This window comes from Homo sapiens, chromosome 5 (genome assembly GCF_000001405.40).
Source record: "Homo sapiens chromosome 5, GRCh38.p14 Primary Assembly".
NCBI classification, from domain to species: Eukaryota; Metazoa; Chordata; class Mammalia; order Primates; family Hominidae; genus Homo; species Homo sapiens.
In genome coordinates, this window is record NC_000005.10 from 170,271,594 (window position 1) to 170,295,893 (window position 24,300).

General features: G+C 46.8%; 1 protein-coding gene across 2 annotated transcripts in view, besides 3 other annotated features; it reads right to left on the bottom strand.

Moving 5' to 3' along the window:
- The window catches only part of LCP2 (lymphocyte cytosolic protein 2), a 51,545-nt gene that overhangs the window by 25,361 nt on the left and 1,884 nt on the right, over nucleotides 1-24,300 (bottom strand). The window contains exons 2-6 of one of the 2 annotated variants that reach the window (NM_005565.5): nucleotides 21,717-21,779; nucleotides 16,377-16,423; nucleotides 4,202-4,267; nucleotides 3,727-3,758; nucleotides 2,708-2,745 (exon numbers count right to left, since the gene is read on the bottom strand). In NM_005565.5, coding sequence (NP_005556.1) covers nucleotides 2,708-2,745; nucleotides 3,727-3,758; nucleotides 4,202-4,267; nucleotides 16,377-16,423; nucleotides 21,717-21,779 — 246 coding nt within the window. The remainder of the gene's footprint in view (nucleotides 1-2,707; nucleotides 2,746-3,726; nucleotides 3,759-4,201; nucleotides 4,268-16,376; nucleotides 16,424-21,716; nucleotides 21,780-24,300) is intronic. The other variant, XM_047417171.1, reaches the window with a different exon arrangement.
- Nucleotides 2,851-2,900: a silencer, noted in NCBI's record as "silent region_16604". NCBI's record gives its function as "represses an Ori minimal core promoter by ATAC-STARR-seq in GM12878 lymphoblastoid cells {active_cell/tissue: GM12878}" and the evidence as "EXISTENCE:reporter gene assay evidence [ECO:0000049][PMID:35858748]".
- Nucleotides 3,001-3,060: an enhancer, noted in NCBI's record as "active region_23604". NCBI's record gives its function as "activates an Ori minimal core promoter by ATAC-STARR-seq in GM12878 lymphoblastoid cells {active_cell/tissue: GM12878}" and the evidence as "EXISTENCE:reporter gene assay evidence [ECO:0000049][PMID:35858748]".
- Nucleotides 5,478-5,527: a silencer, noted in NCBI's record as "silent region_16605". NCBI's record gives its function as "represses an Ori minimal core promoter by ATAC-STARR-seq in GM12878 lymphoblastoid cells {active_cell/tissue: GM12878}" and the evidence as "EXISTENCE:reporter gene assay evidence [ECO:0000049][PMID:35858748]".

A 24,300-nucleotide genomic window follows, 5' to 3' on the forward strand; every position in this document is an offset into this window, starting at 1 on the left:
TTGCTTCTTCTTGGATCTCAGGGAAAGTAAGCCCGAGGTGCTGGATGCTTGCCTTTGAAGCAGTCCATGAAGGTGAATGAGCATCAGAATGACCTCCCAAGCAAAGGCGGCACCATCAGCAGCAGTGATGAGCGCTCATCATGGTCATGCCAAAGTCCAGGGGGTGAGTCAATGAGCCCAGACCTCAACACTCAAGGGCAGTGTGGGAAAAAGCAATGGGAAGTGGCCACTTTTTGAGGAAAGAAATGTTCCAGTGTCCTAGAAATCCTGACAGCTTTGGGTGGCCTCAGGCAGACTGTCTTTACGTTGTTCTGTTGAGAGAGTCCTGTGTTTGTTTTTGACTTGAGGAATATTAAAAACATCAACAACAGAGGGGCAAAGTGAGCATTGGGTGCCTTCCCAACTCCAAAAAAAGACTTTGTCCTGCCCTGTCAGGGTTCTTATAACTTTAGGAGCAGGTGGGCAGAGCCCCAGAGGAATGCTGCTTCAGATCAAGAGCCTCAGCATGGAGGTCCGCAGGCACGTGGCCTCCCTCCAGGCTGCTGACCCTTTCCTCACCCTGTCTACCCTAGGCCCATCATTCCTGACTTTACACCAGCTCTTTACCCCATCAACCTTTCTCAAATGACAGAATTTTCCTCTCTGCTTCTAGAACAATTATTTTCTCCCAATCATTTGGCTCCTAAATTTGTATGCATGATGTTGTTGCTAATTATATTCTGCCATATGTGTGTTAAAGTAAATTAAAATGGAGACCAGGCCTGAAGAATCCCTGAGCAGACAAAACCAGTTGGGCCTCATCAGTGACCTAAACCTTACTTGATTTGCAGCATAAGCAAAAGTTAACTTGGGCTATTTCTTGTAAATGCCTGTATTAAAGAAAAACAGAACTTAAGCCCAACCAATCAGAAGTAGCCAGCCAACTCATAATTATATAACTAGGAGCTTTCCAGCAAGATAGACTAAATGAGATCGGTTATAACTGTAACCCATCAAATATTTTCTTTTTTTTTTTTTTTTTTTTTTTTTTTTTTTGAGATGGAGTCTCTCTCTGTCACCAGGCTGGAGTAGTGCAATGGTGCAATCTCGGCTTACTGCAACCTCCACCTCCCGGGTTCAAGCAATTCTCCTGCCTCAGCCGCCCAAGTAGCTGGGACTACAGGCACGCACCACCACGCCCAGCTAATTTTTGTATTTTTTAGTAGAGATGGGGTTTCACCATGTTGACCAGGATGGTCTCGATCTCTTGATCTTGTGATCTGCCCGCCTTGGCCTCCCAAAGTGTTGGGATTACAAGTGTAAGCCACCGCACCCGGTTCAAATATTTTCTTTGTATTACATCTACATTCACTTTATAAATGCTTGTCCCTCATCCTTCTTCAGCAAAGCCTCCTTCTGGTTTGGTGCTGCCTGATTCATGAATCACTGTTTGCTCAAATAAACTCCTTAAAAAAAAAAAAAAATTGCATTGTGCCTCAGTTTACCTTTTTAAAATGGGGTATCCATACTGTAAAATGCTTATGATTGGGTCCTTTATCTCCACTCATTTCCCAGTATGCCCTTGCAAAGAGCTGGGCACATAACGGAGCTGCCAAGCTCTATAGCCACTAGTGAATGGAAGCCCTCAGTTTACAGAGAGGATCGAAGACTAGCCTCAGGCACAGCACAAGAGAGGCTGCATGGCAAGGATTCTGCCTCTGTGAGTAAACAGAAACATTCCAGCGGAAACTCTGGGCTATTTTCCCTTTGTACCAGAGAAATCTGTCAAATTCCTTCATTTTCAGGTAGAAAGCATAAACTTAGCTAAATCTTTTTTTTGTTTTTTTTCCAATTAAATACTTTCTTTTACCAGAATCCCAATAGGTCAAGGGACAGTTTGTTTCTGCCTTCTGAAGGCACTAGAGGTGGCCTCTTACCAGAAGGCCCACGTGACTGAGGGTCTGGTTACCTGGGTCCTAGGTCTGCCTCTAACTAACTTTGTGTTCTACGCACGTCACGTTCTGCTCTCCTGTGGACTCAGTTGCCTCATCTGTAAAATGAACAGATTGGGCTACGGTCCATAATAGAGTTCTTAGCCTGAGACTGCTTCATGGGTGGTGACTGTGTATACAGGTTCCTGGGGAGGGGTTGTACAATCCGTCAGACTCTCAGAGGGGGAACTGTGACCTTTCAATGTAAAAATCAACTGGATTGCACCCTCTTTGAGGTCTTTTCAGGGCCAACAGTTGGTTCTGAAGTTCTTTTCCCTCCGTGTCACCGATGGGGACTTAAGTCCATGAGAAAAGCTACTTGAGAGTAGATTTCTAGGAGTGTCCATTTTTGGAGACGGGGGGGTAGTGGGTGGGGGTTGGTAACAGTGGGTGAAGTGCAGTCAGCAAAGTACAGCCTAGGGCCACGTGCAGCCTACCCTCTGTGTTTGCAAATGAAGGTTTATGGGCGCAAAGCCAAGCCTGTTTGTTTGCTCATTGTCTGTGGCTGCTTTTGTGCTCCAGTAGCAGAGTTGAGTAGCTGAGACAGAGAGTGCATGGCTCCCAAAGCCAAAACTATTTCCTGTCTGGCCCTGTGCAGAGCACCTTTTCTGGGCCCTGGGTGGGTGTGCTGGCATCATGTTAGAGCCCCGCTTCACTTGGCTCCATCCTGGCTCCTTATCACAAAGCTGCCCTGGACACTGCTGTAAAGGTGCAAGAACAGCCCACACCATACTCACAAAGGACGACCAGCCCCCATTGTCCTCTTCGTGGCTTTCTGTGGAAGGAGATGACACCACCATCAGCACTGAAGAAAAGCCACCACTTGAGGGAAAGTCAAAGCAGCTTCCCCATCTGATGCCTTCCCTCACCAATGCCCCTTCCCTGGCCTCCACCTACCTCCCACACCCCTGCAGGTTTAGCCACTTACTGTCAGCTCCAGCGACCCTGCCCAAGGTGCTCATTCTACCAGAGAACCAGGGGGTGGCGATGGTTCTCAACCTTTCTCGTGTGTAACAGTGACTTAGGAAGTGCTTTAAGACCTGTAGATACCTGGGGGCCTATGCCTACAGCTTCTGACTCAGTGGGACAGGCTGGGCCCCAGGAATCTGCATTGCAACACTATGTGCAACTGAACAGTTGAAAAGCTGCTTTACTGTAATCCTAGCACTTTGGGAGGCCAAGGCGGGCAGATCATGAGGTCAGGAGATCGAGACCATCCTGGCTGACATGGTGAAACCCCGTCTCTACTAAAAATACAAAAAAAGTAGCTGGGCATGGTGGCGGGTGCCTGTAGTCCCAGCTACTCGGGAGGCTGAGGCAGGAGAATGGCGTGAACCCGGGAGGCAGAGCTTGCAGTGAGCCGAGATCGTGCCACTGCACTCCAGCCTGGGCGACAGAGCGAGACTCTGTCTCAAAAAAAAAAAAAAAAAAACTCAGATGCAGGGGGACTAGCTAAGCTCAGGTGCTCACTCAGAGGTGGGGTCCCTCTGTTTTCCTCTACAGAGCTCCCAGAGCTCCTCAGTGTGTCTCTGAAGATGGTCCCAGCAGAACAGGGGCCATAAGCCAGGTGGCCTGCAGAGCAAGATCTCCTCCCCTCCATCTAGACCCAAACCCTTTTCTGGGTAAGAACTGGCTGACAGACAAGTCAGTAAGGTCACCTGAATGAACTCAAGGAGCCCCAGGAACCAGAAAGGCAAGAAAACTGAAATACCTATCACCTCCTAAAGCAATCACCTCTGAGCCCTGAGAGCTTTACCTGTCTCTTCAGGAAACCGCGGGACTTGGGGTCTGCAAAGGTAAATAGCACTGCATTAATGGTCTTCTCGATTTAAGGGGATCTCCCTCTTTCCTCAACCTGGTCCAGCGAGAGGGAGTCCCCAGTGGAGGGCATGTCTCACTGCTCAAGAGAGGTTTGTATCCTTGCTGCTCAGCAACTGGGGCTAGGATACCCTGAAAATTCTGGAAATCACCAAGCCACATCAGTGGCATGACTGGAAGCTCATGACTGTCTGATGCTGTAGAGGAAGTTCCCCTGATGTCCCAGACCCAGGGACAGGATGCAGAGCAGGGGAGGGAACCCCTTCCCCTCGTTGGACACCATCTTCCAGACCCCTGGGATTCAGGGGACAAATGCAGATCAAAAAGTAGGGCAAAAACAGTTCTGTGCCTCCCTTTTAAGGTTCAACTCGGGACTGAAAAATCTTGCGTTTCCTTACACCAGCCGCACTCACTTGCGTGTGAAGATGCTCCTCCTCTCTTCGTTCTTGTTGATTTCCTGACTTAACTTACTGAGAATCCTGCAAGATAAAGAGACAGATGAAGAGATAAAACCATCACTCAGTCTCAACCTTCCCCCTGACCCTTGATATCCCCTGGTCTATAGAAACTTGGGGCACCAGGGCCAACTTTGGCCAGGCTCCTCTTTGTCACCTCTGCAGGGACCCTCTGCTCTTCACTTCCTCCCAGAACTTGCCATCTTATTCCCCGGGCCAGACCTTCCTCCTGCCCAGGAAGCCCTCTCTCCTCCTTGCTGATCTGTGTCTGGCTGAGCCTTCCAAGTCCAGCTCAGAGCTCCCCCTTAAAGACTTGTCAGCTCACACCTGGCTTTCCCTCCAAAAATCAGGAGCCTTAGGATCTGGATACGATAGCTGTGTATTTTCTTGTCTTACTATTCCTGGGGCTGAGGTCCCCTGGCTTTTGCATGACCTGGCAGTGCTGTCTTGTTCCTAAGAATCTTCAGACCATCATCTAGACCCACAGGAATCAGCTGCTCCTTGGAGATTTCTTATCACAACCTCTAGTGGGCTGTTCTGTGGCCTGCCTTCTCCTTCCATCTTCCCCTCCCAGACTCCCACTTGGTGATGCGGATTCTTATAAAAGTTTGGGGAGGTATTCTCTATAAAGGCAGGGGTTGCAGAATGAGAGACTCCCTGAATCACTCATGCCCTTGAGGCCAGCTTTGACCAAGACACTTGAAGATACTCTTAGTCCCTGGGTTCCTTCATGTCAGAACTAGCAAATCCCCAAATCCCAGGATGGAGCTGGGGGAGCTGGGGCAGGAGGGCTTTGCCGACAGAACCATATCTCCAGCATGCCCTAGCAACAAGCATCCATTCCAATCTCTCAGATATCCAGAACTCGAGACTGCAGCCCCACTTAGTACCCACTGATGAGACCAGCGAGACCCTTAGTAGTCAATAGGCTTAGTGTTTCCTCGAGATTTGGGGCAACTGGAAGGAACCTCAGATTATCAGTCCAATTTCATTTTACAGAGGAGATGGCAGATGGCGGATCATGAAGTCAAGAGATCGAGACCATCCTGGCCAACATGGTGAAACCCCGTCTCTACTAAAAATACAAAAAAAAGCTGGGCATGGTGGCACGTGCCTGTGGTCCCAGCTACTTGGGAGACTGAGGCAGAAGAATCACTTGAACCTGGGAGGTGGAGGTTGCAGTGAGCCGAGATCACACCACTGCACTCCAGCCTGGTGACAGAGGGAGACTCCATCTTAAAAAAAAAAAAAAAAAAAAAAAGGGAGTAGCTTGAAGCCACATAGTAGTTAGTGGTAAAGGCCACCCCTTTTCCCACAACTCACACCAGCACCACAAGCTAGCCTTTCTAATTTCCAAGCCAGTGCCCTTTCAACGCACACACCCCTGTGTCAGTTCCCTTTCTGCTGCAAGCTCTCTGGAGGCAGATACTGTTGAGTCCCTGGCCTGCCTATGAGAACGGCTCATGATCTCTATTTCTTCTGCTTAATGACCATCTCGAAGTAACAAGTTTAGCCTAAAATAAACTTGCTAAGTTAGCAAAGGAAGTCCTTAGCAGCCACCATTTCTCGATTCCTCCATCACCTCCCCTGCCCCTCAACTCCCTCATTTCTCCCAAGATATGGGCTCCAGGCTGGGCGCGGTGGCTCACGCCTATAATCCTAGCACTTTGGGAGGCTGAGGTGAGCAGATCACTGAGGTCAGGAGTTCGAGACCAGCCTGGCCAACATGGTGAAACCCCGTCTCTACTAAAACTACAAAAATTAGTCAGGCATGGTGCACGCCTGTAATCCCAGCTACTCAGGAGGCTGAGGCAGGAGAACCACTTGAACCTGGGAGTCAGAGGTTGCAGTGAGCTGAGATCACGCCACTGCACTCCAGCCTGGGGACAGGAGCAAAACTTCGTCTCAAAAAAAAAAAAAAAAAAAAGAAAGAAATGGTATCCAAACCTCCTACCTCATTAGAGCAATGGGATAAACAAATTTTGATAAACACACTGGTACTTAAGAGGAAAGAGAAGGAGGAAGGGGAGGGAAAGGTTTACTCTCTGTAATAATATTGTTGACAACTCCAGGCTTTTGTGACTGGGCAGAGAGAGCGAGGCTTTAAGAGCAGCAGCGGGGGCTTCCTAGTTGCCTCCTGACCATGCCGTCAGAATGCTTGTGACATGGTTCTTTTTGGTTCCCTTAAGTGGTTGTTTCAAGAAGACGATGGGCATGTGGGATAAAAGGACTCCTACAGAGCTGGCAAGGGAGCCCCGTTAGTGTCCTGTGTCCTGGCCGTGTCAGGTGGTGCTGGCTGCAGCAGCCACTCCCATTCTGTCACCTGTTTATTCAACAATGTGCACTGAGGGCCTTCTAAGTGCTGGGAACTTAGAAGTGCTCAAGGTGCATCAATGAGCAAAACAAAGATCCCTGCTAGTGGAGAGGAAACTTTAAGGAGGTGAAATGTGCTGCATATGCACCATGCACATGCAGAGTGGGGGGCTGGGGAGGGGGATGGGAGTGCAGGGGGGGGCTGGGGGGGATGGGAGTGCAGGGGTGGGGGCTGGCGAGGGGGATGGGAGTGCAGGGGTTGGGGGCGGGGGGGATGGGAGTGCAGGGGTGGGGGGCTGGGGGGATGGGAGTGCAGGGGTGGGGGGCTGGTGAGGGGGATGGGAGTGCAGGGGTGGGGGGCTGGGGGGGATGGGAGTGCAGGGGTGGGATGCGGTTGCCATTTAAAATGATCAGGCCTCACTGAAGAGGTGACATTTCAGTAATGACTTGAGCGAGGTGGGACTGAGGCTCACCTCAACGCCCTCCTCCTACAGAGTTTGACAGGGCTCTGACCAGCTCACAAGGCTGCTTTGGATCTTGAAAGAACCTCCTGCTCTCTGCGGTGTTGCCTCTCACCAGTATCTCTAGCAGCCAGGCTGGAGGCTGCCGGGGCTCGAATTGGGTGAGGAAGGAAATGTCAAACCGCAGGCCTCAGCAGAGGAGCAGCAAAGAGCTGAGTGGGGGCAGAACAGGTCCTGGCAGTTGGCTTGCAGCAAAGTGTGGGCTCCCAGGGTCCTCCTGCTTTAAGGGGCTACAGAAAGCACCTTCCAAGCCTGTGGGACCACTGCCAGGGTCTGGTGGACGGTGCAACAGTGATGGTGGGCATAGCAGGGAGGTGGTTGCTATGGCTATTGCTAGGTGCAAACCTTCAAATTACACCCTACCCCCAGAGGACCAAGTGACAGTGAGTGGAGGGAGGTGACTCATTCTCCCTTCACCCCATAAACCCCTGGCCTCGCTCAGGACCAGAGCAAGAAGTGATGGGGGCTGGGCAGCCATAGACAGCAGTCCTCTCTGCTTGCCTTTGTTTAAGGGACTAGCTGGCCCTGGAAATGGGCTGAACCTCCCCACAGGAAGCCAGGCCCGTGTAGGAAGGCAGCATTCTACAATGACCTAGGTTCCAGCCCAGCTGCATCCCTAACTTACAGCATGGTGGGGGCCAGTCTTCATCTTCTCAGTCTAAGGTCTCTCCTGGTAATGTACAAGGTACAGGGCCTGCAGGCACAGACAGTCTAACTACAATGTCTGGCCCCAAGGGTGGCGCCCACTGTGTGATCTCAGACAAGGCAGCTGCCCTCACTTGGCCCCAGATTCCTTATCAGCACAATACAGGGGTTAAACCTGATTAGGGAATCCCTGATGGGCCTGATCATCATGATTACTTAGCTGTACCTGTTGCAAACACTGATCACCAGGCCCAGCCTAGACCTACCTGAACGGACTCTCTGAGGAGAAGCCTGAGGCTCAGTGACATCAACCGGCCCCCACGTGATTTTTATTATCATCCAAAAAGCTTGTGAAATAAATCCTGCTATTCTTGACACTGATGAAATTGTTTGTTTGTTTGCTTGTTTTAAAAAAGGAGGAGAAGGAAAGGCAGGAGAAGGAACTTTGTGATTATGAAGGGAGTGAAACAGGAGAGTGGGGGTATGCGGGGCCTTAGCTGGCCTCTGATGTAGCCCTTTAATTCTCCCCACACTTGAACAACAGTGAAGGAAGCCCTACTAGTGGGTCTAGAAATCAACTTTGCTGATGACACAAGAGGAAAGAAACTATACAAGAAAAGAAGGCTGCCAGGCAGGTGGAAAAGGAGGGAGAGAGAGAGGGGGGAAGGGAAGGGAAGGGGAAGGGGTATAGAATAGAAAATATCAGTGCACAAAGCATGCAGTAGGAATAGGCATTGTCCTGTGAAAATTCCATCTTTGTTTCCTCTACTGTGGCACGTGTAGCTGTGTACTGGCTTATGATGTAGAGCGCATTCTTGCCACAGCTCACATAGTAAGAGCTTTGGCCAACTTCTGACCAAAGCCCTCCCACAGTGGGAGCCTTATTCCCTGGGCTCAGATTTCAGACTGCCTGCTGATCCCTCCTGGGACAAGGCTCCCGGCTCCTGGGTAGGGCAGATGCCTCTCCCCCTGTGCTGTTCTCTCAGTGGGACCCTGGAACTCTCCTTCTCCTCCCCACCCCTCCTCCCTGCACACATTCCCACTCTCAGCCCTGCTCTCGCTCTGCATTCCAATCCTCCTTCCAAGGAACAAAGTGTTCTTTCCGTCTTTAAAGACCAGCCCCCTTGAACCAAGAGCCAAACCTTCTAAATTCTATCCTTGTCACCTGAGAAGCCGGGGGCAGCCAGATGTTTTAAGACTCAGGAAGGAGCCTTTCACCATCACCTGAGGCCTCGGTCGAGAGTGTAAGAGTAGGACATAATAATTTGAGGACACAGTGTTCTCCTTACTTGTCACCCATGTCCCCTACCCCTGTAGTTTTACATGGAGTGTTTTCCTGGTGCCTCACGATCATTTTCCTGGTAGACAAGTATAATTATTCTCATTTTTACAAATAAAAAAGGCAGGGCTGGCCAGGTGTGGTGGCTCATGCCTGTAATCCCAGCACTTTGGGAGGCTGAGGCAGGTGGTTCACTTGAGGTCAGGAGTTCGAGACCAGCCTGGCCAACATGGCAAAACCCCATCTCTGCTAACAATACAAAAATTAGCCAGGCATGGTGATGCCTGTAATCCCAGCTACTCGGGAGGCCGAGGCAGGAGAATCGCTTGAACCCAGGAGGCGGAGGTTGCAGTGAGCCAAGATTGCGCCACTGCACTCCAGTCTGGGCAACAAGAGTGAAACTCCAACTCAAAAATAAAAATAATAATAATAATAGGCAAGGCTCTGAGGGAGGCATCTGTCTAAAGGCACGTGACCAGCATTTATGGGGAGAGGAGGCTTCACGTCGAGTGCTGTGGGCTTGCACTGGAAGAGAAGAAGGGACAGCCAAGGGAGGCACCTTTCCTGTGGCAGGGCCCTTGAGGACTGACAAGAGCTGGGTCCCTGGACGGCAATTAGCCACTGAATGGGACAGGGGAGGACCATGTTGGAGAGAGGCCCTGTTTTGGTTTTGCTGGGGTCTGGCCATATTTCTTTTTTTTTTGAGACGGAGTCTTGCTCTGTCCCCCAGGCTGGAGTGCAGTGCCACGATCTTGGCTCACTGCAAGTTCTGCCTCCCGGGTTCACGCCATTCTCCTGCCTCAGCCTCCCGAGTAGCTGGGACTACAGGTGCCTGCCACCACACTCGGCTAATTGTTTTGTATTTTTAGTAGAAACAGCGTTTCACTGTGTTAGCCAGGATGGTCTCGATCTCCTGACCTTGTGATCCGCCCGCCTTGGCCTCCCAAAGTGCTGGGATTACAGGCATTTGAGTGGCCACATTCTTTAACAGGCATGAGAATGTTCCTTTCGCCTCTGCGTCCCTTCCTCCACACCTTTCCTGTCTTCTCTGTCTCAGGTAGAGAAATAGGTACAAAGGAGATGCCTCAGTACGTTGTTTCTGCCATTAGACTCACAGCCTTACAGGAAGACAGACAAATATTTCTGCATTACTTCTCAGCTTGAGTCTTAGGTTTTCCCAGCCTAATTGCACCATTGGTAATGGCTACAGGGATAACCAGCAGAAAGAGCATCATCCAATACCTAATTGCTGCCTGCACCACCCACCCCGTCACTCTCTTCTCCGTAAAGTTACACTGTGCATTTAAATATAAAACTTATAACATCCCATCCTTTAATGAACTTCAAATAGGCACCAGCAGATTTGAACGTGTATTCGTGTATTCTATCGATTTAACCAGACCGTTGTCAGCTGTACCATGAGGGCCAACCTAGGCCCTATAAAGGGAGCCTTCATTTTTTTTCTTTAAAAATCCTCCACCTTTACAATGTTGCAGGTGTCTTGGGATCAACCATGTCCTGAGAGAGTGACTGCATTTTCAGGCTGAGAGAGCCTTCCTTACCACAACTTACCTTCTTAAAAATCTATTTAATACTTATATTGTAAACGTCAGGGAAGGAAATAGAGACATTCAGAAGAGTGTAATATTGTTTTGGTTTTCTGTACATGAACACAATTTCTTTTCCAAAGGCCTTTGGGGTAATGAACAAGACAAATAAACTTATGTACAAGAGATGGAATGAATAAAGTATTGAACGCCTGTAAGTATCCAGGACAGCACCAGGCAATTTCTGTGTGCTGCCTCCTTTAATATTCCCCACTCCTGAAAAGTTAGCTCTTTTCCCTTCTACAGACAAGGAAGCTGAGGCTCTGATTGCCTAAATGACTTCCCCAAGGTCCTACAGCTGGTGGGAGGCAAAGTCAGCTTTAGAGCCTGGATCTCCCTCACTCCAAAACCCTATGTCCTCTCTATTCTTTAATTCCTCCTCTCCAGAAAGATAGAATAGTTAAAAAGCTAAAATTGTTCTAATTGGGATTTTACATAAAGCAAGAATAGCCAACACTTATTCAGTGCATATTGTTATTTTCCCATTATTTCCCCTAATTTTCCCATTAACCCTCTGAGGTAGGTTCTATCATTATTAGCATTATACAGATAAGGAAGCTGAGGCTCGGAGAGCTGAGCTAGCTTGCCCTCAAGTCTCACAGCCTGTGAATGGAAGGATTGGGTCTCAAGCATCTGACCTCAGAGCCTGCGCTTTTTCTCACTAAGCTCTCCTGTCTGCCTATTTATACCCCAAATAGTAGCACTTAAAATTGGTGAGCTTGTAGAGTCTCTCTAACCCATTCCTTCCTTTTATAGTTTAGGAAGCTGAGGGTGGTCTAGGGATGTGTCCCAGGTCACACAACTCATTGGAAGTAGAGCTGGAATTGGTCCTTGTTATACATTTCTGCCAAGAGGGACAGTGAGTCTCTAAGTCACCTCATCAGGGCAGCCTGGACCTTCCCTTGATATTTTCTCCATCATTCTCCATATTAACCCTTCATGTTCTATGGGCAGGCTTCACAGTCTTTCTAGGGTGCACATTCAAACACATTGGAGGAGGGGATTACATCGCAGGCCAAGCTTTTGTTTTAGTTTCCAGAGAGCTAAAGAAAGATCCCACCCCAGCCCATTCGCAATGTGTTGATAATTCTCCCGTTCACACTAACCAGAAACCATTTCCCACCCCTACCACTTTCTCCAGGCTCTCAAAAAAGCCAGAAGACATCAGTTGAGCTTAGCCTTAAGATGAAAAAGGATCTTCCAAGCTGAAAGTGCCTTCTTTATCTCTGTCCTTCCACTGTTCTGATTAAATCTCTTCCATCCCCCCATCTTCATAGCTACAGCCCTAGGGGAGGCTCCTAGCTCACTGGCAGGATCTTGGTCACCACCAACTAACTCAGTCCCATGTCCCCAGCTGGGCTGTCCTCCAAATCATCACTTACATGCCCTGGACAGAGATAAGACACAAATTTACCTTGATGCTCACTTCACTAACACTCTCTGGCTCCTGAGAATGGCTCACGGGACCTTTATAAATTGAGGGACACACCCCACAACAACCACTCACTTCAGCCTCTTTGCTTTCCACTCCCCCAGGTATATGCCCCAGCTGCTCTGCCCCACTGCCGCTCCACCAGGCACACTGGGTGGTGCCTCTGTAATATGTTCCCATTTCTAGAATGTCCTACAATCCATCCCTCCTATTTCAAGATTTAACTTAGGGTCCCTTCCTCCCTTGTCTGCCCTGAATACTGTGGGGAAAATTACTCCTGCCTTCCTACGAGCGCTTGAACTTGTGCATGCATGTACCATTGCACTGTTGTAATTGTAGTGTAATTGCTTTGCTTGTCTGTCTGACCTCCCTTTAGAATGTGAGTGTCCTGAGGATGAGGATTCTGTCCCATGTCTTTGCAGCCTGAATAATTTTAACAAAGGCCTGACACATTGTAGTTATCTAACAGCAGTTCATTAAATGAATAAAGTATTATTGAAATATTAATCTTGTATAGGGACCACAAGATGCAAACTCAAATGCCCTCAAGGGCCACGTACATACACAGACCTAAGTAGTTACCATTTCTGGCACCCTTCATTCCTATGTACACATCCCTTTCCACTTGAAGGACTTTTAAAAAGCACCTGTGGCAGTACAGTTCAGATTTTGTGTGTCTGAAAAAGTCTTTATTTCGTCTTCATTTTTGAAAGATATTTTTGCCTAGTATTGAACTCTAGGTTGACAATATTTTTCTTTTGCTATTTTACTTTCGAGAAAGCTGTTGTGATCCTTGCATTTGTTCCTCTGTATGTAATATGTCTTTTTTTTTTTTTCTGACTGCTTTTAAGATTTTCTTTTTATCATTGGTTTTGAGCAATTTGATTGTGATGTGCCTCAGAGCTAGTTTTCTTCCTGTTTCTTAGATTTGGGGTTTGTTGAGCCTCTTGGATCTGTGGGTTTATAATTTTCATCCAGTTTGAAAAATTTTTAGCCATTATGTCTTCAAGTGTTTTATTTCTGTCTCTCCTTCCCCGCTCACATACACATTCTTTCCTCTCCTTTAGGGACTTTAGATATATATTTGGTTCTTTGAAATTGTCCCAAAGTTCCTTGATGCTTTTTTTTTTTTTTTGAGATGGAGTCTTGCTCTGTCACCCAGGCTGGAGTACAGTGGTGCCATCTCAGCTCACTGCAGCCTCCACCTCCCAGGTTCAAGTGATTCTCCTGCCTCAGCCTCTTCAGTAGCTGGAACTACAGTCGCCTGCCACCAAGCCTGGTGAATTTTTGTATTTTTAGTAGAGATGGGGTTTTGTCATGTTGGCCAGGCTGGTCTCAAAATCCTGAACTCAGGTGATCCACCCACCTCAGCCTCCCAAAGTGCTGGGATTACAGGCGTGAGCCACTGTGCCCGGCCCCTTGATGCTCTTTTCAGTGTTTTGTTTTAGTTTTTTTTCTCTGTGAGTTTCAATTTGGACAATTTCTATTACTGTATCTTCATGTCTACTACTATTTTCTTTTGCAATATCTAATCTGCTGTTAATCCCAAGCAGTGTATTTCTAATCTCAGATTTTATAGTTTACATTTCTAGAAGTTCTGTTTGGGTCTTTTTTTGAATTTCTTATGCCCAAATTTAACTTCTAGAACACATGAAATACACTCAACATTCTCCTTGTCTGCTAATTCTAATCTCTGTGTCAGTTATGGGTCAGTTTTGATGTTTTAGTTTTTCTCTTTGTTGTGGGTTATATTTTCCTGCTCATTTGTGTGCCTGTTAGTCTCTGATTAGATGCCTAATATCATAAATTTTATTTTGTTGGGTAGTGAATATTTTTGCATTCCTATAAATAGGTTTAAGTTTTGTTCTGAGATGCAGTTAAGTTACTTAGAAGCAGTTTGTTTCTTTTGGGTCTTGCTTTTAAGGTTTTCTAGCCAGGACCTGAACAATTTTTAGATTAGGGCTAATTATTCCCCACCACTAAGGCAAGATCCTTCTAGGCACTCTACCGAATGACTATGTTTTCCAGCCAGGCTGGTAGAAATAAGCACCATTTCCAGCCCTGTGAGTGGCTACTCTTTCCTCCAATACTGTTGGGTAGTTCTTTTGCCACCTACAGGTAGTCTCTCCTTTCATGCATGGACTGATCTGTGCTTTGCTAAAGAGGGGCCCCTCTGAAGCTCTCCAGAATGCTCTCTCTATGCAGCTCTCTCCTCTCTGACACCCGTTGAATGAACTCTAGGCTCCTGGACTCTCCGCTGCCTCCTCAACTCAAGTCGTCCACCAGACCCAGCACTGTGCTCCCTGCTCCCTGTGCCAAGGCCTGGAGATTCTCAAAGCAGCAAGCAACCATAGGCTTCACCGCCTTTGTTTTCCATCCCTCGGTGTCTGATGCTCAATGTCTTGAAAATTGCTCTTTCATATATTTTGCCTGGTTATTTGGTTATTTCAGTTGGGAAAGTAAATCTGATCCCTATTACTTAATCTTGTTCGAAAGCCAAAGTTCCCATGATATAATATAAATGGTTGACGTACCTTAGGACGATCCCTCAGGGAATGGTGGGACCCTGGTGAACTGGGGAGCACAAATCCCAACTAAACAGGGCAGCAGACATCAGATCCGGCTGACTATTGCCACAGTAGAATATAAGCCCTCAATTGCCACATCTTTCACTTGTTTCTAAAGAGGCTGGATTTTGTGAAAGTTTTCCTGATTTCAAAGCACAGTGGTCACCAAATTTAACATACCTGCAGTCTGGGACTAGCCCACCAGCCACCAATTCTGACACCTGTGTGGAAAGTTCCCTCTTTTGCAAAGAACTATGGTTTATCTCTACAACATCACATTTCTGCAATCATAGAAATGTTCTATATCTGCACTCTCCAGCATAGTAGTCACCAGCTATACGTAGCTATTAAAATGTGGCTAGTGCCTCAGGGGAATGAATTTTAAATTTAATTCAAATTGAAGTAGCCACATGTGGTTAGAGGATATCCTTAGAAAGATCAAGCCATCTTCAACAATACGTGTCCCTGGAGATAGACAGCACCAAAGGCAAATCCTTATTCCTCTCTTTTCCCTCCCCCTTCCGGACAAGGGAAACCCTATAGTCATGCTAAAAATATTCTCCTTAATTGAGCTGCCAGCATTCCTACCTATTCATGAGATCTCCCCACCTCCTACTCCTTTGGCCTACTTCCCTTTTATTATGATGAGCTCTGAGACCCTTAGAGTAAGAGAAGGGTCCTTATAGAATGTCCAGAGAAGAGAACTCAAACTGGTAACACACAGACTATATGTAGCCCTTAGGTGTGTTTACTGTGGCATTCACAATACTTGAAACATTTGAGCCAATGTTTAAAAATGGAGATATAGCACATGAAACCCATATTTCTAGTTATTCTTGATAAATTTGAAGATAGGACATTGTTGGGTCCACATTAGCTGGAGCTGAGGAGCTGCTGCACTCTTTGAATGGAACATATGATATCTGATTTGCCACAATCCCCACCATTCTCTATTGCTTCACCAACAATGAGGCTTTGCGATGGCTACTTTTTTCATCATATGATAACCGTGCTATTATTTTTCTTATAATGGAGAACTATTTCTTCATACAGAATATTTACCACTGTTTTGTCCAATGATGATAAAACAAAACAAAACAAAACAACGGGGCTTTGTGTTTTCAACCTGACCAATTTTACCATTTATAGCACCTGCCTGGCTCCTGTAGGTATTTGAGTGTGTGAGACCTTTACTAGAGGGATGAAAAATACATGGCATGACATGCATACTGCAACTTCCCCTTTCAGCACCTATGGCAGACATGAATGATCAATCACAGCTCCCTTTCCTCGGGATTCTTCTCAACATAACACCCCTGTCAGATATTTCCAAGCACTCAGTATCAACACATAATTATATCCATTGCTGTCATCTGCTTTGGCTCTCATTTTACTGTGTGAGAAATGGAGGTCAAGAAAACTTAAGCCATCACTGAGTCAGTGGTGATGCCATGATGAAACCTTGACACTGATGCTATTTTCACAGGCCCAAGCACCCCATGAGAAGAGAGGAAATGAAAACATTGGCCAGAGTTGGGCTTGTTTTTGGCAAGAGCATCCAGGTCACCAGCTGGGCTGGATCTGTGACTTCTGTTTTCCAGCTCTTCATGTAACTTCTGTTCCCCACATCCTGCCCTTGCCCTCATCCTTCCTACTTGCTTTCTTATTTCAAGCCGACAATGACATAGAACTGACCCAGCCCCCACTCACACTACTCCCCATTCCCACCTCTGCTCCCAGATCACCCATAGAGTTGGAGGAGTACTTACGGCACCCGGAGCTTGGGGAACTTCTGGATGTCATTTTCTGTCAGGTTCTGAAATGAAGACACATATGGCAGGCAGGTTACAACCCACAGAAAGGGCTCTGAGCAGGAGGGGAAGAGTGATACGTGAAACAATATAGGGAGTGGTGGGGACTGTGGCAAACAGAGGAGAAACCGCCCTGCCCACCCACCCTCCCCAAGTAGGCAGCCTCTAGATGTTTTGCCTAAAAGCCTGTGGGCCTGCTGTTGCTGGATCTGCTTTTACAAAGGGAATCCTTAAGTCTGGGTTTTATGTGAAATGCTCTGAGTTCCAAATGTTGGCAAATAATTTTGACTTAAACACTGTGAGAGCTAAATCTGTGAAACCAAACGACTCGTTGTGTGGGCTGCATTTGGCCATGTTAGGACCTCTTCCCTACACCCCAGACCTCAGGCCCTCTCAGTCTCCACAAGGTCAGCTGCAGAGAAGCCAGCCTGGAGGAGTCTGTGCCTCTTTTACCAACATCACATCCCAGAGAACCTCTTTCACCAGGGTTGTTGGTAGAATTCTCAAGATATGGGGATGCCATGAAAAGGCTTTCTTGAGGGAACTGAGAAGGGAGGGGAGAAAGAAACTCATATTTGTCAAGAACTAACTCTGGGCCTCCACCTCTTAATGCTTTAGTGAATCCTCACATCAACTCTGTGATGCAGGAGTTACCAGCATTCCCATTTTGAAAGAGAGAAAGCCGAGGCTCAGGGATATCAAGGGGATTTCCACTTGTGGGGGATGAGCTGGGGCTGGAATTCCACTCTGTGACATCCACAGTCTATTTTCTTCCTGCAAACCTCCATCCTACCACGTCTGATCCTTTTGACGGCCCCTGTGGCCTATGTTGGAGAGGATTATGGGGGGAAAGGTGAAAGGAGGCATCTGGAAGGGAGGAGGAGAGGAGAGCATGTCAGAATTGGGAGCAGAAAAGAGACTGGGCATGCTTTCCATAGAACCAATGATGAGCCAACAAAGGGCTCCACCACCATTCTAGTTAAGGCCAGAGGGCTGGGTAGTTAGGGTGGGAGCTCTGGAATCAGATGGGCTGGGTTTGAATTTTGGTTCATTCACTTAGCAGCTGTGTCATTTAGGGCATGCACTTTGCCTCTCTGAGCCTCAGTTTCCTTATCTGTAAAATGGGGACCATAATAATAATAATGATACCCACCTATCAGGATTGTGAGGACTGAGTGAGATGATGTATGTAATGTGTTTTGGCACAGTGCCTGGCACAGTGTGTGACTGAGAAATGGAGGAGTAAGATGAGGAATTACTACCCCTGGTGGGGAAGCAGCAGGGGTCTGGGTGAGTCTTAGAGTTTAGTGTTTTTGCTTCTTTTCCGTTCTGGGAGCTGCCTGTCAGGTTTTCTGACCACTGGAAAGATCTGGGCACTCTTCTTTGAGATCAGCTGGCACAGAGGCTGGGGCTAGGGCATCTTAGCAATGTGTTCACTGGATCCATCTGATCCAGCTCACAGGCATGGTTTCTGATCTGGACGCTGATCAGACCACCTGCGGCAGGGTGGGGCTGGTGAAGGGAGTCAGCCAGAAGTCCTGAGGGCATCGGGCTTTTGGTTAAGCTTCTTAACTACTCCTTTTCTTTCTTTCTTTCTTTCTTTCTTTTTCTTTCTTTCTTTCTTTCTTTCTTTCTTTCTTTCTTTCTTTCTTTCTTTCTTTCTCTCTCTCTCTCTTTCTTTCTTTCTTTCCTTCTTTCTTTCTTTCCTTTCCTTTCCTTTCCTGTCTTTTCTTTTCTTTTCTTTCTCTTTTTTTTTTTCATCACTGAGCAGCATCTCCCTGCTTCTGAACTACTCCCACTCAGGGAGGTACCAAGACTCATGTTTTGAGTGTGGTGTGAGGAGTTGAAGCCTTCCTAAGGGCTGCCAGAGGGGTGGCGGCTGAGCACTGAGCAGCTGGCCACCAGCTTCTGCTCTGCTGAGACGAGGGCGTAAGCTGAGGGAATTTCAGGAAGATTGTGGAGGAGGAGGTGGACATGAGCCTGGCTGGAGACACAGAGGAGCAGGGTGTCAGGAAAGAGGAAGACATTCAGAACGGGGACAAGAACTGTGAGGAAAGATGAGAGATGTTGAAACAGAATTTTTGGAGAGTTTTGCTATGTGATGTAACCCCCTCCTCCACCTTTTCCAAAAGCCTCCAGTAAACTCTGGGTTATTTGCATGATGATTTTGGAGTTAAGATTTATGGCTTTGTGGGAGTATGATTATATGCTGTGGGTGTTGAGAAGAGGGGTACAGAAAGAGGAAAGCCACAAACTGGGCCCTGGTGGGAGAGGCAATGTGGCAGACATGGCTGCTTGCCTACCCAATACCCACTCTCCCTTTGTTTTCCTACTGACAGGTCCTGGGTTTCATTCAGGGCAGTAAATGTGCTTGTTCAAAATATTTAACTCTCCAGGCTCCCTTGCAGATGGTGGAGGTCACATGACTCTGTTGTGGACAGTAAGATATAACCAAAGTCTGCTGGATGGAGCTTCTGGAAAAGTTACTACTTCCCTGGAAAAAAGGGAGCATGCATTTACCATTCACCATACACCTTCTCCTCTTTGCCTTTCTCCCCGTCTCCCTGCCTGCCATGGAGATATGATGCCTAAAGGTGGAGTAGCCAACTGACAACTGTTAGGACAGAAGCCACAGGCTTTTTCCATCGGTTAGATGAAGCCTGGGTTCTTGATGTCTTCTTTCACCATCCCCTGGCACCCGCCTATACATTTATTACTTGAAACAGACTGACCTTTATTTGGTTAGGCCACTGTGGTCAGGTTTCTGCAACATGGGGTCACATGCCTTCCCAACTGACACAAGTCTCAAGCTCCTTTTCTCTTCTTTTTATAACTTCTAGAAGCATAGCTTCTACCAGATAAGGATCTAACCTTTTCAGTGGAAAACAAAAATGGCAAAGAAGTAAAGAAAGAAGAGAGAGAAAGAAGAAAGAAAGAAAGAAAAGAAAGAAAGAAAGAAAGAAAGAAAGAAAGAAAGAAAGAAAGAAAGAGAGAAAGAAAGAGAGAAAGAAAGAGAGAAAGAAAGAGAGATGGAGAGAGGGAAGGAAGGAAGAAAAGAAAGAGAGGGAGAAGAAAGAAGACAGGGAAGGAAAGGGAAGGGAAAAGAGGGAAGGGGAGAGGGGAGGACAAGGGAAGGGGAGAGGGGAGGACAAGGGAAGGGAGGAAGGAAGAAAGGAAGGAAAGAAGGCAGGAAGGAAGGAAGGAAGGAAGGAAGAAAGGAAGGAAGGAAGGAAGGAAAAATAACTAGGGCCTTTCACTTTTGCCTTCAATAGCAGAGTGGCCCTGGATATTACAGAGCTGGAAAGGGTGATAGATTAGTAATTAGAGCTTAGATCAAGCGTCCCAAATTGTACCCAGTGCACTAGGGGTGGAGGGTGGGTTTCAGCAGAAGCTGCCTTTACATCCCCCAGTTGCAGGGACAGGCACTGGATTCTTCTTCTTTTCTTCTGGTTCCTATCACCCTACTTTGCACTTCCTCCTCTTCATACAATGAACAGAATGTGCCACATTGTCTGAAGGACTGATAGAGGACTGATTGGAGCAGAGGAAACATAGCTGCCTAGATACCATCTCTCAAACAACCCTGTTCTACCAGGCCTGACACTCGCACCAGGACTGTTGTGGGGAATTACAGAGCCGGGAGGGGCCATCACCCACTATGACCCAGTCCAATGTGCTCAGTCAACAGGGTAGGAAGCAAGGCAGGCTCAGAGAGGGCAAGTACTTGCTCAGGGTGACCCAGGCAACAGGGCGTCGTAGGCACCATCCTCAAAGATGTCTTCCTCCCTTTCCATTCAACTGTGATAAGTCTCTGTTCTCAGTGCTAATAGCACCAGAATGAAATATTTGGGTTTAGCAGTAATTTGCAAGAATGGCACTAAAGCTCCAGGAATTCTACTGACTCAAATCTCAATACAAATAAATAATACTGTTAAAAAGTCAAATGGTATCAGACTAAATTAAGTGTATGCCTTAGTTCAATTAGTAGGTATGTGACATAGAACAAATCACATCACAGCTCTGCATGTGTTTCCTCATCTGCAAATGAGGTAGTTGGAAGCCTTTCTGAACATACCTTTCTGCTATAAAACAAGTTTCTAGAAGGCAGAAATCACATCTTAGCCATTTCTCTATCCCCACCACCTATAATGCTCTCCAGTATGTAAAAGCAGTTCGGGAAACTGCTTGTCAAGTGAACGAATAGGCGAATGAATGAATGATTTAGGTGGACAGTGAATAAACATGTCTTACATGGCACCTGGAAGCAAAACTCAGACCAATAGGAGCACAGGTTAGTTTCAGCACAAGACTTGAGAGCTGCCTAGAAAGGGGCAGATGACTGTGGGTGGTGGTGAGCTCACCATCACTGAAGGAATTCAAGAAGATGTTGGTAGCAGAGATGTAATATAAGAAATGGATTGGTGTTCTCTGGGGGCAAGCTGGAGCTTGTGATCTCTCTGGTCTCATCCAACTGGCCTGAAGTCTCATGGTCAAGTTCCCTTACTGACAGTGTCTTACAGGGAGACACAACTTAGCTTACTCTATTCACTCTGAATTTAAATTAGGAACATCTACCCCCATGAGACCCTTGAAGTCTTATTTTCAAAGAGTAAAGCAAAGTTCCCAGAAAGGATGGATTGGTGCAGTCAGGGTCTTTCTTAACCCATGGGCAAAGGTGTCATTTCAGGGAAAATGCTCAAACCACCTCCCCGACCACAACCTAGCACCTCTGTCTCCACCATTAGAGCTGCATCCTTTTCCCTTTAATGGCTTAGTCTTTAATACATACCTGCACCTTGGTCTTAGACTTCAAGCTTTTTGAAGTATAATACAGTGGAGACAGCCATATCACATGTGTGCTTGATGCAAAATCAGCTTTATGAATTTGGTAGTGAGAAAGAAGGAAGTAATTGAAACAATGAGGGTGATGCCATCCTTTATTCCACTCATGAGTATGTGCTCCAGAGTGAGAGATTGGAGGTGAGAAGCTTCTGTTCACCCATATGGTCCTTCTTCCCCTTGGGCTTCTCAAAGGATGGATGGCATTTAAATAGATTTTCCAGATTATTTGTTTACTATACTTGGATTCCTCCTTAAGGTGTAAGTGGAAGATCAGAGAGGGGTTCTGGATGATAGGATCCTGAAAGGTAGTGAGAGAGGGGGCCCTACCAAATTTCTGGAAAAAGCAAAGGGATCCTCGGGTGTCCCCAGGGAAAGGGTAGGCCAGTTGGCCCTGCAGCCATGGGGAAAAGTGCCGAACAGTCTTGGTTTCAGTGTGTTGGACTAGCCAGAGCTTACCAAGAAGCGAGCCCCATCGATGTGGTACTTCTTCACTGCCTTCTCACAGTCCTTATAGTTGAGCTGCAAAGAGAAGGGGAAGGTGTTGTTAGTGACGGGCAGTCTCTTACCATTGGTTCCTCTCCCTTGCCTGCCCCAGAAACTTAGCACTTTGCGGTACTTGTGGCTAGCCAGGCTCCCCACTGCCCTCCCTTGGCTAACAGAGGGCCCAGTCCCCACCTCAGCCTCGCTTTCACTACCCCCTTGGGACTGCCTGAAATGGAGAAATTGCCTTGCTCTAAGGCTTCGGGGCCAACCCTTACAGAAAGACTGCCTTCAAGGCATGCAGAGCTCTGCCCTATGCTCCTCAGGAAGGAGAGCTAAAAGAAGAAAAGAAATACCATCCATTGTCTCGATGCCCAGAGACGACCTCGGTGTTTCTTTCCATGCTTTCTTCCTAGCATGTTTCTAAACATAATTGAGGTTATGATTTATATTCAATCTCATTATTCTGACTTTTTTCTCTTAAATTACCTAAAGGGATAATATAAACACTGCCTAGTGTTATGCAAACTCAATTTAAAATAATTTTAATGACCACAACATTATTTAATCATGCCCTTATTGCTGAACATTTAGATTATTTACCAAGCTGCTGTTTCAATAATGATAATAAAAACGGCGAACAATTATCGAAAGCTTTCTGTGTGGCAGGCAGTGTACCAAGTAGTTAAACTAGTCTTCAATCATTTAACCCTCACATTTTGCAGATGGGGAATGAGAGGCACAGACAGCAAGTAACTTGCATGAGGTTCCATGGGTTTTAGGTGACAAGTTTCAGAACAGGCTTTAATGTCTCTTTCAGAAATATTCCCCTTTTAATTACAGCATAACTTATATACAGTAAGTAAAATGAGCAAATGAAAATGCAGCTTCATTTGTTTGCAGTACCTCATCCCAATCAAAATAGAGACAATCATGGATACTATTTTGCGAACTTTTTTCTCCCTCTTTGAGATAAATTGTTTAAGTCAGAACCTCAGAACCGAGTTATATAGGATCCATAGGAACGAGCATTTTTAAGATCTTGGTTATTTTCCTAGACCAATCAGCAATCATATGAGGTGCTAGTTTCAACTTGTCCTCAACAGCATAAATGTTCACATTTGAAGTATCTCTCAACTTGCTGCTTTGGGGTGGAGCATTTGAGGTTAAATGTTTCTCCTTGAGGATCCTAGGTTCTTCTCACAAGGGTGGGCCTCATGGTTTGTGGCAGCCTTCTTTTGGAGCACATTTTAAGCCATATTTTTATCTTATAGCTAGCAAATCCAAAGAATAAATACAATTGTTATGAAATCTTAGCTTGGAAGGGTGGGATGATTATCACACTCAGAAAGCTGACTTAGAAGTTGATATTGAAAGCACATCCCATCTATGGAGCCCTGGTATCCCCTTTATCTACAGGCAGTGGGGGGTAAGTGGTTCTTGGAAGAGTCAACTGCCTTTAATTCATCATTCTCACTGTTATCATTATGAGATAAACCAGATGATTTTGAAGAGTGCTAACTTTGTGTCTAGATCAGCAGAGAGTCCTGCAGACTGGGACCCAGGCATTTGATTCTGCTCCAGCAAGATCTAGGCTTGTGGACCTCAAATCTGTATTTTTAAGGAGCACCCTAGACGATTCCTATGGCATCCAGCATTGGTAGGCACTGGTCCAGAAAAGTTACCTGGATTTGTAGTAAGGAAGACTGAGGCCTCTAGAGGGAAAGAGGCTGGTCTAAGGTCACACAGTGAGCTGGGATACCAGCTGGGACCCCACCTGGGATTAGGACACACAGCTCTGAGCCAGTGCCTCTCCACTGCACGACCCAAGGATGTTCTCCTGCAAGTCAAAAGGAATTGGAGAGATTGAACAAATATGTAACATGGTCTCTGTCCTCAGGAGCTTATATTCCAGACACAGGACGAGGTACCCATGTCAGAGACAAGAAGACGCAAAGTCCCACCAGTCTGCATGGGTGTCCCCAGCTAGGAGCCAGTTAATAGAGAAGGTAAAAGGGCAGAAGGAACACGCATTAGGATCCATTTGTCTGCTGAGTGCCTTGCACACATCATTTGCTTTAATCCTCACAACCAACCCATTGGGTTAGTTACTGTTCATATCTCTATTTCACTGATGAGGAAGTTGAGGCACAGAGAGGCAAAGCAACTACAGGAAAGTCGCCAAGCTAGCAGGTGGCAGAGCCAGGGTAAAGTGTGTCCGACCTCAGAGCTGAGTCGAGAGCTGTCTCCAAGGGAGGCCTGACCCCACTACTTGGGTAGAGTTTGCATCTGCAGATCAATTCTTTACATGTCATGTTTGACAGCTAAGATCCATTCCCAAATGACTCTGCGGTCCATTCGTTTGGTAGTTTCTTTCAGGGGGCTGAGGTACTCAGAATCTGAAGGGTTTCTATCCAAGTCTGTGGAGGGACTAGAACTTCCAGGATCACAGATTTGCCTCAGTCTCCTAGTTTCTTCCCTCAGTCCATTTATGGCAGAAGAAGGAACCTGCCTGGGTGCTGTAGATTTGTCCTGGGGTCTGAGATCTCCAGGAAGAAAA